Source organism: Homo sapiens, chromosome 22, assembly GCF_000001405.40.
Source record: "Homo sapiens chromosome 22, GRCh38.p14 Primary Assembly".
Lineage (NCBI taxonomy): Eukaryota > Metazoa > Chordata > Mammalia > Primates > Hominidae > Homo > Homo sapiens.
In genome coordinates this window covers 27,969,565-27,984,268 of record NC_000022.11, presented here as the reverse complement: position 1 = coordinate 27,984,268, position 14,704 = coordinate 27,969,565, and the positions used below count along the sequence as shown (strand labels likewise).

Genomic DNA, 14,704 nt, shown 5'->3' with positions numbered 1-14,704 from the left:
GGACTTGCTGGGATGGAGCTGGAAAGGAGGGCAGGAGATGTCACAGACTGCTCACATGCCCCAGCTGAGCAAAGGGCCCCCACCCCAGGAGCACGGCCAGCCCTGCTCAGAGGAAGGCGGATACAGGGTCATGCTGCTTACCCTGACCCCGCATGTGACAGGGAGCAGAGTGGAGATGGGCCATGGTGGGTCTGGGGTGGGTGTGGCTGTGAGCTCTCCTAGAATGATTTTGTCCCTATGTTAGATTTACTTTTTCTAACAGGACCATGTTTTTGAGGATTGTAAGATTAATATGAGTAGCTCTTGCATAATTCTTTGCTAGCTTCTATGCATATAAAGATGTCGTAAATTTTGAAAGAAAAATCAAAACCATATAGAATTCTAACTGTCCTTGGGGCCCTTGTGTTTTGTGCTTAGATTCTACTGAGCTACCCAAGCGCCTCAGCCTTGACAGCTCCTCCTCCCTCGAGTCTCTTGCTTCTGCTCAGTCTGTTTCCAACGCCCTGCCCTTGGGTTACCAGCAACCCCCCTTCTCTCCCACCGGTGCGGACAGCATCGCCTCAGATGCCATCTCTGTGTACAGTCTGAGCTCCATTGCCTCCTCAATGAGCTTTGTCTCCAAACCCGAGGGTGGATCAGAGGGTGGAGGCCCCGGAGGACGGCAGGACCATGACCGGTCCAAGAACGCTTACCTGCAGAGATCCACCCTGCCTAGGAGCCAGCTGCCTCCCCAGACCCGCCCTGCAGGCAACAAAGATGAAGAAGAATATGAAGGGTTTTCTATCATCAGTAACGAGCCCTTGGCGACCTACCAAGAAAACCGAAACACATGCTTCTCACCAGACCACAAACAACCCCAACCTGGGACAGCCGGAGGCATGAGAGTCTCGGTGAGCTCCAAAGGGAGCATCAGCACTCCAAATTCTCCAGTGAAAATGACTCTGATTCCCAGCCCCAACTCACCCTTCCAAAAGGTGGGAAAACTAGCAAGCTCAGATACAGGAGAATCAGACCAGTCTAGCACAGAAACGGACAGTACCGTGAAATCCCAAGAAGAAAGCAACCCAAAACTGGATCCACAAGAGTTAGCCCAGAAAATTCTGGAGGAGACACAGAGTCATCTCATTGCGGTGGAGCGTCTTCAGAGGAGCGGCGGCCAGGTGAGCAAGAGTAATAACCCTGAAGACGGCGTTCAGGCGCCCAGCAGCACTGCTGTCTTCAGAGCGTCAGAAACCAGTGCGTTCAGCAGGCCTGTTCTCTCCCATCAGAAGAGTCAGCCATCACCAGTCACTGTTAAACCAAAGCCCCCAGCCAGGAGCTCCTCCCTGCCCAAGGTGAGTTCCGGATATAGCAGCCCCACCACCTCAGAGATGTCCATCAAAGACAGCCCGAGCCAGCACAGTGGCCGGCCATCGCCCGGCTGCGACTCACAGACTTCCCAGCTGGACCAGCCTCTCTTTAAACTGAAGTACCCCAGCTCTCCTTACAGCGCTCACATTTCCAAATCACCAAGGAACATGTCCCCAAGCTCCGGCCACCAGTCTCCTGCTGGCAGTGCACCCTCCCCAGCTCTCTCCTACTCCTCAGCTGGATCTGCTCGCTCAAGTCCAGCAGACGCTCCCGACATAGACAAACTGAAAATGGCAGCCATTGATGAAAAGGTGCAGGCTGTCCATAACCTGAAGATGTTCTGGCAGAGCACACCCCAGCATTCCACAGGGCCAATGAAGATCTTCCGGGGGGCTCCTGGCACGATGACTTCCAAAAGGGATGTCCTCAGTCTGTTGAATTTGTCACCACGGCACAATAAGAAGGAGGAGGGAGTGGATAAGCTTGAACTGAAGGAGCTGTCCCTGCAGCAGCATGACGGAGCTCCACCGAAAGCCCCTCCCAACGGACACTGGCGCACCGAGACCACCTCGCTGGGCTCACTGCCGCTGCCCGCCGGCCCTCCCGCCACAGCCCCCGCGCGCCCTTTGAGGCTTCCTTCTGGAAATGGCTACAAGTTCCTGTCTCCAGGAAGATTTTTCCCTTCTTCCAAATGCTAAAGCATCTTTTATACCCACTGACTCTGAGCAGCCTGCAGATGGGGGCCTGGCGTTTGCTTCAGCCCTTCCCTGAGTGCAGTCCCCCCACAGCCACCAGCACCCTCATGATGCTGTGCTCTGCAGGCGAGGGGCACCACCACGTCCAAAGGCTGCCACACACACTGGTGGCTTTTCTGGGCCACATTCACCAAAAGCCAGGACTTCTGTGGGGCTGGTACAGGAGGCTCATGGAATTTCCTACACACTTCACCAAATGTTTGTTTACCTTTGAACTCCCTGCTTCTCATCTTTGATATGATTCTTCACCAGGATTTTGTACAAAAATGATCATGGTTCTGGGGTGGGGAGAGGAAAGGGAGCACATATTTTGCTAAGAGGTATATATGCAGTACCTTTTATACACAGAAATACAAATAGAGCTTTTTCTAAGGCTTTCGGTTGCTGGTTGGGGGTGGGATATATGAAATTTCAGTTGAATTCTACAGGAAAGTGTTATATTAGCCAAAAACAGAAAAATGGTTTTTAAAATGCCAATGATTTGTAATTAAATTGTAGCAATTTTGGTCTCATGATAGTGTAATATCTCAGCAACAATGCAATAATTCACATTGAAACAGCGCTTCCATTCTGAACTCTGCTCTGCAAATGTCTTTTGGGTCCCGCTGTCAACCAAACTTGAATTTTCTTAAAAAAAAAATTATGTAACTCTTATCCAGGCATTTTAGAACTATGCAATTGTGATTTAAAATGCAACTTTGTGCTTTTAAAACATTATTGACCTTTTTTGTATATGGATAAACAACTTGGTTTTATTATCAATAGTACTTTGCATTTATAGCTATTATTTTTAAAAGCTCAAAAAGTTTTTTAAAATGTCAAATTTTGAATAGTCATCAATAAGTAATTATCAAGTTTGGAAGGAAAGGTTGAAATGACTCCGTTTCCTTATAAGCAAAAAAAAAAAAAAAAAAAAAAAAAAAAAAAAAAAAATTTCCATGGCTAACTAGATTTAACCAGAATCCCGCCTTCCAGGCTCCTGTTCCCTTTTATTAGCTGCTGAATTTTATTCCCTTTTCCCAACTCCAGGTCCCTCAGTTGTCTTATATCTAAATCCTTTGCCAGGTCCCCACAATCCCAGCACCTGCCTCTGTGAGCTGCCCCCAGGCCCTCACCTTGGCCCTGGCCAGCCTCCTGTGCTCCTGCTGTCTGAAGGACTGGCCCCTCCCCCACTGCTGAAGCCACACGTACAGATCCTAAGCAACAGGGCCTTTTGCTGGGACGTATGCCTGGATTATGGCCAACCGGGAAGAGAGAGATGTATCTTAAAAAGTGGAGGTGGACTTCTCCTACAGCTCTGACGGTAACTTAAATTGTTGCCAGCTTGAGGCAAGACAAGGGAATCATCTAGTTAGGGGTAACCATTAATTTATTTTATAAAGAAAGGAAATGCTGAAAGTCGTATTAGTACTGAGTTTAGTTGGAGAATTTAGATAAGTAAGTATCTTTTAGGTAATTCTAAAATTAAAATCCTACCCACCTCACTACAGGGTTCCTCATGAAGGTGGGCGGCCACCTGGCCTGGGCCACCAGCAGCACATGGAGCAGACCTGAGGGGCCTGGCAGGGGGCACTGACCTCAGGATCCCCAGGTGGGGGTTTTAACCATGGGTGGGATCTCAGCTTCTGCGCATACACTGACAATCTCACCTGTTCCTCAGTGTACTCCTCTGAAAAGAAGAAAGGATAATATTTATCCAATCTGTGTTCTCCTGAGCTCCATCCTAGGGGTTTTTAATTTAACCAACAGCCATGTTGACAAAAGCCAACAATAAGCATGTCTTATTCTAGCCCTGATCCCAACACTGAAAGCGAAGTACTTTATAAAGAAGCCAGCAATTATGAGGGTTTCTTTATGTTAGTAGGGGAAAAAATGGTAATAAAAGTACCAGTGTAGCAAGTGAAGACCAAATTTATAGCACTGTGCATTAGATAGCAAAATCAGGTTCTTAACAATGAAAAGTAAACCTCAAGTTTCTAAATCCATATGCAGATGGTTAGGCTGTCCCTCTCTTAGCAAATCTCTCAGCCTCCTTCTTTCCCAAGTGCCAAGGATCCCTGGAGTAAAGCTCTGGGGTCTGTGCTCTCTTTCTGTGAGGGGAAGGCTGCGGCCCTATTTGCCCCTCTCTAGCAAACACCCCCACCACCCTGCCGCTTCCTGTGGTTATTGAGCCAGCTAGGAGTTACTCATGGACTCTAACCTGGTTTTAGTCCCATGTACATCGTTGTTTTAGGTTTCATACTGAAGAGCCAATGGTTTATGTGGTTTTATTCTGTCTTAAATATAAGTTTCAAGGAAGGGAAAACAAAAGTGATAAAATGATAGAACAGTCTAGAGGCCACTGTAAAGTCACCGCCACTTTACGTGTATGTCAGTCTTGGTGTTCTTGTATGAGTAAAATGGATGTAAAATCATAAAATCACAGTGAATGTTTCAGGCTACACTGGAAAAAGTATGCACTTAGAATTAAAGGAAATTGTATAATTCACCAAGATTTCTTTGTGTAGATCAGGGGTTGGCAACTATGACCCACAGGCTAAGACTGGTCAGCGGTCTGGTTTTTCACAGCCATGAGCTAAGTTACCTTTTTAAAGGGTTATATAAGTAATTACATCATATTTTTGATTTTGCCTTTGGCCCACACCACATAAAATATTCAATACCTGGCCTTTTTTTTTTTTTTTGAGACAGAGTCTCGCTCTGTCACCCAGGATAGAGTGCACTGGTGCGATTTTGGCTCACTGCAACCTCTTCCTCCTGGGTTCAAGCAATTCTCCCTGCCTCAGCCTCTAAGTAGCTGGGACTACAGGCACCCACTACCATGCCTTGCTAATTTTTGTATTTTTAATAGAGATGGGGTTTCACCATGTTGGCCAGGCTGGTCTCGAACTCCTGACCTCAGGGGATCCGCCCGCCTTGGCCTCCCAAACTGCTGGGATTACAGGTGAGCCACTGCGCCCAGCCAATACCTGGCCTTTTAAGAAGTTTGCTGACTCCTGGTATGGATGACAGAAAATGGAATAACGTTTTGTTTCTCCAGTCTAGGAAAAGCAAGTCAGGTAGTGGATAGACTGACTGGCGTCCGGGGAGCCCAGGGTATGTGAGGGCCACGTGGATGGAAGCAAATGCCTCCTGCATAGCCCTTGGCTCTTTGTCCCACTTGGGAGGAGTCCATGGATGTAATATTTACAAAACAATTTTTTCCTTACCATTTGCAGAAAGCATTGCATATATTTCCTTTTAGCTCAGGAAACTGGCATGCCCCACCCTCTGCTACTCCATCAGATGTAAATACAATGACTATAAGCCGTACAACTCCCCTCTCTTAGAAACCTCAGCAGGACCACAGAGCAAGGGAGTCAAAGCTTTCTTAATTCTCTCCAGTAAATGACTCAACTAATTTGATTTTTTTAATTAAGTCAAAATATCAAGAGAAAAATTGCTACTAAAACTTACATTTTGATCCACACTGATGTGCAACACAAAATGAAAGTTTTCACCTCCATTCCATTTTTTAAAAATTCACGGTCCACACTGAAACTTGCTGGGTTTTAGCAGGAGACAAAGGTGTCACCCACGCTGTCCTCATCCTGCTCTCTCTGTCCCAGTGACGCTCCAGCATATGATCACTGCAGCCGGTCCCTGGCCCGTGCCGATTCTGCCACCTCCCAGCCACACACATTTGCAGACCCACAAGAAGAACTGTAGCCTTGATAATTTCAGTTCAGGCTGGAAAAATGCCATGCAATAATCTGGTTTGCTTTCAGTAAGTAGGCAACAAGTGAAAACTGTATAATTTTCATCACCTATTCTGCTGTTCTATCTAAAATGAGTGTACCTGTGGTTTGTGAACTGGGCCCTTGTTTGTGCCAGATCCTTCAAAGATGTTCCCTGTCAGGACACCTGTGGCCCTGCCCCTCCTCAGACACCTTCCCACTGGCATTCACGTTCCTTATATGCAGTGTTAGCCATCTTTGGCCTACGTGGACTTTTTTTGTAAATTACACCATTTCCAGACATTAAACTTTTTATATTATGAAATTTACCATGTAAAAAGAACTTCATATTTTTATTGAGATTGCTAAGGCACTTGGCCTTCCTCCTTTGTGATTTTCAGTGTCTATTAAAGCATGAGTTCCCTCAGTTTTAAGTGCTGTATCTGGATCACTTTCTCTACTCTTTCCACACTGTCTAGGTTTCTTTGCAGTACATGGAGTGGGCCGTGTGTCATTACTGAGCACGTATCTCTCTAGTTTTAACCCCACCTCTACACCATAGCCTCACATCCGCCAAGCAGAGAGCACGACCATGCATGCAGCAGAGCTGTCCCGCACGTCTCTGGTCTGGGGGCACTGTCGGTGGGGGGGTAATTTAGACGCTACTCATAGTTGGAGGGCCAGAAAGTTCGACAGTTGAATACGTATTTCGACAAACAGAAACAGAGTTCATCACCACCAGATCCCTATATCATCTAACAAAACTTCCAAGGTAGTATTTCAGAAAGAAGGAAGATAATTCTATATGCAAAAGTGTGAGAAGCATGAAGGAATAGTAAAGAATTGGGTAAATATGCATAAATGAACACAAATATTGCCTTTATAAAAAGAGTAATGTTTCATTCGGCTAACAAAAAATACTAGACAATAATATGTAAAACATGGGAGTTAAAGTGCTATAAGTTTAGGAACAAATTGTATATTATTTTTAGAGTAAGTTAAATATATGTAGTTACACACACACACATTGAAGTAGAGGGTTATACTTCCAAACTAGTCAGTGGAAGAGAAACAGATTCATTTTGTAAAACCCTGGTTGATGTAAAGGAATAGAAAAAGGAAGGAACAACAAAAACCATCTAAAAGGCAGGACAAATATAAGATGAAATTAATTGTACATTTTCAAATAACTAAAAGTATAATTGGATTGTTTGTAACACAAAGGATAAATGCTTGAGGGGATGGACACCCCATTCTCCATGATGTGATTATTACGAATTGCACGCCTGGATCAAAACATCTCACGTGCCCCATAAATATATACATCTACTATGTTCCCACAAAAATTAAAATTAAAAAATAAGACAAAAGAAAAATATCAGTAATCATTATAAATGTAAGTGAACTAAACAATTAAGCAGTAGATTAACAGATGATGGCAATAAGCCACATGCTCTTTAAAAGGCTATATGCTATTTGAAAAGAAAACCACCAAAGCATAAGGGCCCCCCCAAATGGCTGATAGTAAAAGGACTGGCAAACTAGATATTAAAGTAAGGGGCACTAATAAAAACAAAGATCCACTTCCTAATGATAAACTTGGCAAAAAGGCAAAATTCTAAATTTGTATGCAGCTAACTACATAGCCTCCAAATTCATGAAGAAAATTGGCAGAACTACAAGTTTGAAAAAACATCATCATGGGAAGTTTTAAGCCACTACTCTTTTGATAGATCAGCAGACGAAAAGTTAGAAAGCATGTGGTAGGTTTAAACAATTATGTGAACAGGCTTCTGAAATGCGGTTAAGGAGAACCCAGTCTCAGATAGTGAATCCACGGTCTTCACCTGCACACATGGAATATTTCATGAAAATAGACCATGCACAGGCCACATAGCAAGTCTCAGCAAATATCGAAGAATTACTACCACATAATCAGAGCACAATACAATTAAGTCAGGCAACAATAACAAGAGGATAACTAAAAAGTAGCCAATCACTTAGACATTTTAAAATGGACCACATAGCATATGACCCATGGAAGAACTCAAAATAGAAATGGGAAAATACAACATATCAAAACAGGTGGATGCCTCCAGATTTACCTTAGGAATATCTGAGTTTTTCTTTTATTAAGGACAGTGGTGTTTCTTATTTATTCTATACTCGCCTATAATTTGCAATTATCACTTTCACCCAATAAAATAAAATTACAATTATTTTCATTTCTGCTTACATGCTATTTTCAGAAAATGTATACATTATGTTATAAAGAAAATTAATAATTCCATAAAACTAGTGGAATACAACATATTAAAGAAAAATTTATAGCCCTAAATGTTTATATTCAAGGGTAATATTTATGTAACTGCAAGAGCCCCAAGCGACGAAGAAGGACACTGGTACTGTGAGACTGGAGTACTGAGGTATGTTAGGAAAAAACAAAAACTACTTACTGAGCTAGGTGACCAATTCAAGAAGTTAGAAAAAGAATAATATACCCAGAGAGAAAATAAAAGAGGGAATAAGAAAGGTCAGAAATAAAAGAAGACAATATAGAAGGTTAAGAAGGGCAAAGTTTGCCAAAAAGACAAATACACTGATTTCTGGGAATGGTAATCGTGTGTGTGCATGTGTGTGGGCGTGCGTGTGTGTGAGTCAGAGAGGGAAAGGGAAGGAAAATAGGCTATCTAAAGACGCAGCTGAGATCAAAGAATAAGAAAACGCTACAAACGATTTTATGCCACTATATATGAAAATACAAAATAACGCCTTTCAGGGTCCAGGTGCATACATGCAGTGGAGGTATCTAGAAATGCTGGGAATGAGGGCTCTCACACGCGGGAGTGGTACTGTCGTGCGGGAGGCAAGGCGGTGGAATTAGCGTCAGGAGCGGTATGTGGGCGACTTCAACCGCAAAGCACTGTGACTTACAACTCTAACTGTTTATATATCTGAACTACTTCATAATAAATTTAAGAACAAGTGAAAAATATTATTAGCAATTATACAATAATTAGATTACACAAACTTTTAGAAAAAGACATTAAAAGTTTTGAAAAAAGATAAAATGCCAAAATTGATGTAAGAAGGAAAAGAAACTTAAACTACAATGGTAATCACAACTCTTTGCCCTTACCCAACTCTCCAAAAAATAACAGGCCCAGGCGGTTTTACATGTATTTCACCAAACTTTTAGGAGTTTTTTTTCAGCTAATCTCTCTCTTTTCAAAATGAACTGTTTAGAAAATATAAAATGATGTCCAAATCATTTCATGATGCTATCCTTAATTCTGAAACCAGTGAAGAGTATAGGAAAACAACAGGACCATTCCATGTGTGAACCTAGACATAACAATCCTAAAGAAAATATTGGCCATTAAATCTCTGCATTTTATTTTATTATTTATTTACTTTTAGAGATGGGGCTCTCGCTATGTTGCCAAGGCTGACCTCAAACTCCTGGGCTCAAGCAATCCTCTTGCCTCAGCCTCCTAGATCAGCTGAGACCTCAAGCATGCACCACCGCCCCCAGCAAACCTCTGTTATTTTGAAAACTAAGAAAACACAAACTGAAAAGTGGATCTATGTGTTAGTGACTTGGGAGTGTTGGTCTTTGCTAATATACACACAACTGGTATTCCTAAGGGACCAGAGCTCTGACCCTAAACGGATACCTATAAACACATTCGTATGCGGAAAACCTTATAATAAGCATGAAATTCTGGAGAACATTATGACCCTAAGAACTGGGGTGGATGAGTTCTATGGTTTACACTATAATTATACAAGAGGCAAAATCTATTATCTTCCCATTATAAGAAAATAAAATTTGTATGTCAATGTAAAGGGAATTCCAAGTGGTTCTACCATTTCTTAAGACACAGTATAAGAGCTATACCCTGCTACTGGTGTTAAAGTAGACTTTTACTTTAGTATAATACAATAATCTACAGACTACATCTAAGTATGAAAGGTTAATGAGACATAATGCAAGGATTTATGAGCACAATAGTGTGGGCCCCAATACTTCAGGAAATCCAATTTATATTCCCTGTTACTGCTAAAGAATTTGCATATTCCATTGTAGAATACATATTTTGTTGGACACGTCCTTTGAAGGAGAGAATGGCCCTTAATGAAGATTTGATTCTGTGCTTCAGGATCTCAGTTGACAGCTAATACGAAAGATGGTTACAAGTAGGACTGCTCTTAGCTATTGCAGCTACTTTTAGGATTCTAATGCTTGATTTATAGTCACTTTGTTGTGTTGCTTTTAACCTCAGATATTCTGGACAGGGGCCGCAGCTTGGTACCTTCCTCTATTTAAAGCTTTTCTTTAACTTTCCCAATGAGCATGCAGGCTTACAGCCTCTAATACTCCTAAATAATGGCAAACAGCAGGGAACTGACAGGCTAATGCTGCATCCACTCCAGCAAATGAGGCCAAACATCTGGAGCCAAACACATTAAAGGGACACATTGGCATTAAGGAAACATTTTGCTTCTCAAATGAATTTCATCCAATCTCAAGATATTTATTAAATTTGTAGCAATTATGCATTTGGGCTTCAGGGAATAATAATATTCTTAAGTATATAAATATTGTCAATATATTTACTTAAAATAAAAAGTTTTAAACTTTAAATCCCAGGAGCAGAACTGAAAGTCTATACTTTTAGTTAATTAAGACAGGTAAAGGGATTTGAATTCTGATTTGCCTGGCAGCATTTTGCCAACAGTCTAATTTTTTTTTCCTATACAGATCTTCTTGAAGTATAGCCATTTTCATTCTAAACCAAAAATGCAAAAGTAAAATCAAATTAACATGTGGTCAAAATGAAAAAGGCAGTTCTTATCTGTAATTTCAAAAGTGATTCATTCCACAAATATTTGCTCAGAGTTTATGATAAGTAGAATGCAGCCAATAAAAAATAAGCAGAAAGTTAAAACAGGTGTTAGAAAATCCATAAAACAGGCCAAGCACAATGGCTCACACCTTAATCTTAGCACTTTGGGAGGCCAAAACGAGGGAATTGCTTGAGCCCAGGAGTTTGAGACCAGCCTGGGCAACATGGTGAAACCCTGTCTCTACAAAAAATACAAAAATAAGCCAGGCATGGTAGCCTGTTCCTGTAGTCCCAGCTACTCGGGAGGCTTTTAGGTGGGAGGATCACTAGAGCCTGGGAGGTTAAGGCTGCAGTGAGCCATGATCATGCCACCACACCCCAGCCTGGGTGACAGAGCAAGACCCTGTTTCCAAAAAAAAAAAAGAGAAAAGCAAGTCCATAAAATACAGCTTATGCACTTCACTTACATGCCATTGTCTTCGTGATACAATTTAAACACCTTGATGAATGAAAACACAACCACTGTGCCCCTACCCACCCACTCACCACCCCTCCCCAGAACTGCCTCGGCCCAGCCTAGGGAGTTGTGAACCCAGGCAGTTGTGTTTCCTACTGGAGGACTCTACTCTCCCAGCTGCAGCTGACTAGGCAAGAGCAGGAAACAGACTGCATGGCCCAGCCAACCCCGGGACACGTCAGAAAAACGCCTGTGAACTGGCCAACCAGATTCCTTTTCTCATGAATTCAATCCAGAACATCTTGACAAGATCCAGTATTTGCAGCTGAAGCAAGACCCAAAGGCTGGTGATGTAAACTGAGGTCAGTGGGCCATCATGACCACGTGCAGCCCAGAGTGACAGAGGCGCAAAAGCCATGCGTAAGCAGAGAGAGGAGAAGCGAAGAGGAAGACAGGACAGATGCAAAGACACTAGGAGAGAGACCAAAAAAGTCTCCAAAGTAGCCAAGTTCCAGGCCATGCTAGTTTCAGGATTAGCTACTTCCAAGTTAGGGTAACTTACATGGCAGTCTTTTTTTTTTCTTTTGTAATTTAATGGCCTTAGTTGTGGATGTTTGAATCTATGGCATAAATAGAAGCAAGTTAGAAATGGGGTAGGGAGGAAGGCTGTAGAGTCAGGCAAACTGAGACAGAAATGACAGCAAAGGAAGAAGAGCTATACATAGGTCATAAAAGGGCACACAAAACATGAAGGTCTGGGGCCTTATAATGAAGGCCACTACAGTACTGTACAGTCTTGGACAGTATGACATGAAATAAATAGAGAAGTCCCATGTCCCTTCTTACCAGCTTATGCTCTGCCATCCCATCTATTATTGTAGGCAGAGCCTCTGGGCCCCTCTCCATGGCCAACATGTCCACTAGCCCAGACCCACTCACTCACCCTTGCCTATTGCAGAACAGTGCTTTAATAATTCTCCTCTCTCTCTCCTGCATTGTCAGGCTTTCCCTCTCAGATGAATCATTCCTATCAGCACATAAATACGCTATAGCTGTCCAACTCAGTACTATATCCCCATCCAGTTAACACTCCATTTCTCTGTTCTCCTTTCAGTACAAAGCTCCCAACTGGTCTATACTTGGTGTCTCCAATTCCACTCTTCCCCCTCTTTCTTGAACTACCCCCTCAAATCAGGTTTTTGGCCCCACATAAGACCAATAGCTACATCCATGGTGCAAAATCTAGTGGTTAATTCTTAGTTCTTTGTAATGCAGTACAAAGGGTACAGCATCACCTAAGGTAGTCTTGAAATACAAGTTTAATCTGGATCTAAGTAAGCATACATATATATGCTTATATATATATATAACTGTTATATATATAACTGTTTTTTATATATATAACTGTTATATATATATATAACATATATATATATAACTTCCAATTTTCTATAAATACAGGGATTATTTTAATGAGTTACACAACAACATAAGAGAACAGTGAAGCAAATCCAGAAGGTGGGGCCACCCCACCACTCCACACAGTGCTTTTCAATAGAACTATCTGCAATAATGAAAATTTGTGCTGTGCAATACAGTAGCCACTAGGTACATGTGGCTGCTGAGCAACTAAAACGAGGTTAGTGTGATCAAGGAAAATTTTAATGTTAATTTACATGGATATGGCCATATGTGCCTAATGGCCACTGTTATGAACAACACAATAAGACCACTGACCTGATTGCTTCAACACATCAATGTCATAAAGAAATAAAGGATATTTACTGTTCAAGAGTAAAAAAATGAAGAGACATCACATCCAATAGTAAATGCAATTTTTTTATATACTAACAATAAATACTGGAAAATAAAATGTAAACCAATTCTGTTTACCATTGCATCAATAATCATAAAAGAATTGATTAAAAATATAAACTGTACACTTAAAATGGGAGCATTTGTAAATTACTATGTAAATTATACCTCAAAGTTGATAAAATATATATAATAAATTTAATAAAAGAGATGCAAGATTTCTACTTTGAAAACTATAAAATGGTGCTGAGAAAAATTAAAGACATACATAAACAGAGAGATATACAATGTTCATGGATAGAACACTCAATATTGTTAAGCTGCTAGTTCTTCCCAAATTGATTTATAGATTCAACACAATTGCAATCAAAATATTAGCAGGAAAAATCTTAGCAGATTTTTCACTAGAAACTGACAAGTTAAATCAAATTATTCAGAAATGCAAAGAATCTAGAAAAGTCAAAACAAACTTGCAAAAGAGAATGACTTCAAGACTTACTCTAAAGCTATGGTATGTAAAAGCTATGTGGTTCTGGCATATAATCAAATATTTCAGAGGACAGAATAAGGTTCAGAGTATATGGAGAGAACGGAGTCCAAACATACAGTCAATCATTTTCAATAGAGGGTTCCAGGGCAATTCAACAAAGAAGGAATATTTTCAACAAATAGCACTAAAATAACAACATATCATTTAGAAAAAGATAAACCTTAACAATTACCTCAAATAATACTCAAAAATGTATTCAAGGTGGATCATAAACCTAGATGTAAAAGCTGAAACTATAAAGCTTCAGGCAGGGAAATATGTCTTTGACCTTGAGTCAGGCAAAGATTTCTTGAGACATGAAATGCACTAACCATGAAATAATTTAATAAATGGGAATTTATCAAAATTAAAACTGCCTTCTCTTCAAAAGATATCATTAAGAAAATGAAAAGGAAACCACAGCTTAGAAGACAAAATGTGTGCTACATTTTTGTGATACCTTTACCTGACAGAAGACTTGTATCTGGAATATATATAAAACTCCTGTAACAATAAAACATCAAAAAATAAAGGCAAAAGATTTGAACAAAAACTTCACGGAGGAAGATATACAAATGATCAACAAGCACTGAAAATGTGCTCAGACTCATTAGTTATCAGGGAATACAAATTAAAACTACAATAAAAAAACACTTCACACCTTGAGAATGGCTACATTAAAAACACTGACCATATCAAATGTTGATGAGTATATAGAGCTACTAGAATTCACACATATTGTTAGTGGGAGTGTTAAATGATGCAACCATTTTGGAAAACAGCTGGATAGTTTCTTATAAAATTGAACATACACCCACTCTATCGCCCAATCAAATTCTATACCTAAGTATTCACTCAAGAGAAATGAAAAAAGATGTCCACAAAGAGACTCATCTAAGAATGTTCATAGTTGCCTTATCCATAGCAGCCACAACTGGAAAAAAACAAAATGCCTATTATCAGGTAAATGGATAAACAAATTTTGGTATAGTCGTACAGTGGAATACTCAACAACAAAAAGGAATGAACTGATATATCCACCAAGATGAGTGAATATAAAACACTGTATGTTGAGCAAAATAAGTAAAAAACAAGAGTTCATACGTTTCTATTTATACAGAGTCCTAGAATAATCGAAACCTACTTACGATGACAGAAATCTTTCAAAAGAGTGGTTGCCTCTAGTAGGAAATGGGGATTGACTGGAAAGGAGCATGAAGGAACATTCTAAG

The 14,704-nt window shown here is 40.9% G+C and overlaps 1 protein-coding gene and 1 long non-coding RNA gene across 9 annotated transcripts in view, besides 1 other annotated feature; one reads left to right on the top strand and one right to left on the bottom strand.

The window, feature by feature from the left end:
• The window catches only part of TTC28 (tetratricopeptide repeat domain 28), a 701,827-nt gene extending 695,572 nt beyond the window's left edge, over positions 1-6,255 (top strand). For all 8 annotated transcript variants that reach the window (NM_001393403.1, NM_001145418.2, XM_047441214.1 and 5 more), the window contains one exon: positions 418-6,255. In NM_001393403.1, coding sequence (NP_001380332.1) covers positions 418-2,048 — 1,631 coding nt within the window. In that variant the 3' untranslated portion in view covers positions 2,049-6,255. The remainder of the gene's footprint in view (positions 1-417) is intronic.
• The window catches only part of TTC28-AS1 (TTC28 antisense RNA 1), an 83,304-nt gene that overhangs the window by 18,411 nt on the left and 50,189 nt on the right, over positions 1-14,704 (bottom strand). The window lies entirely within an intron of this gene.
• Positions 2,981-3,561: an enhancer, noted in NCBI's record as "H3K4me1 hESC enhancer chr22:28376696-28377276 (GRCh37/hg19 assembly coordinates)". NCBI's record gives its function as "activates a minimal SCP1, AML or CMV promoter by ChIP-STARR-seq in primed H9 embryonic stem cells {active_cell/tissue: H9 hESC(primed)}" and the evidence as "EXISTENCE:reporter gene assay evidence [ECO:0000049][PMID:30033119]".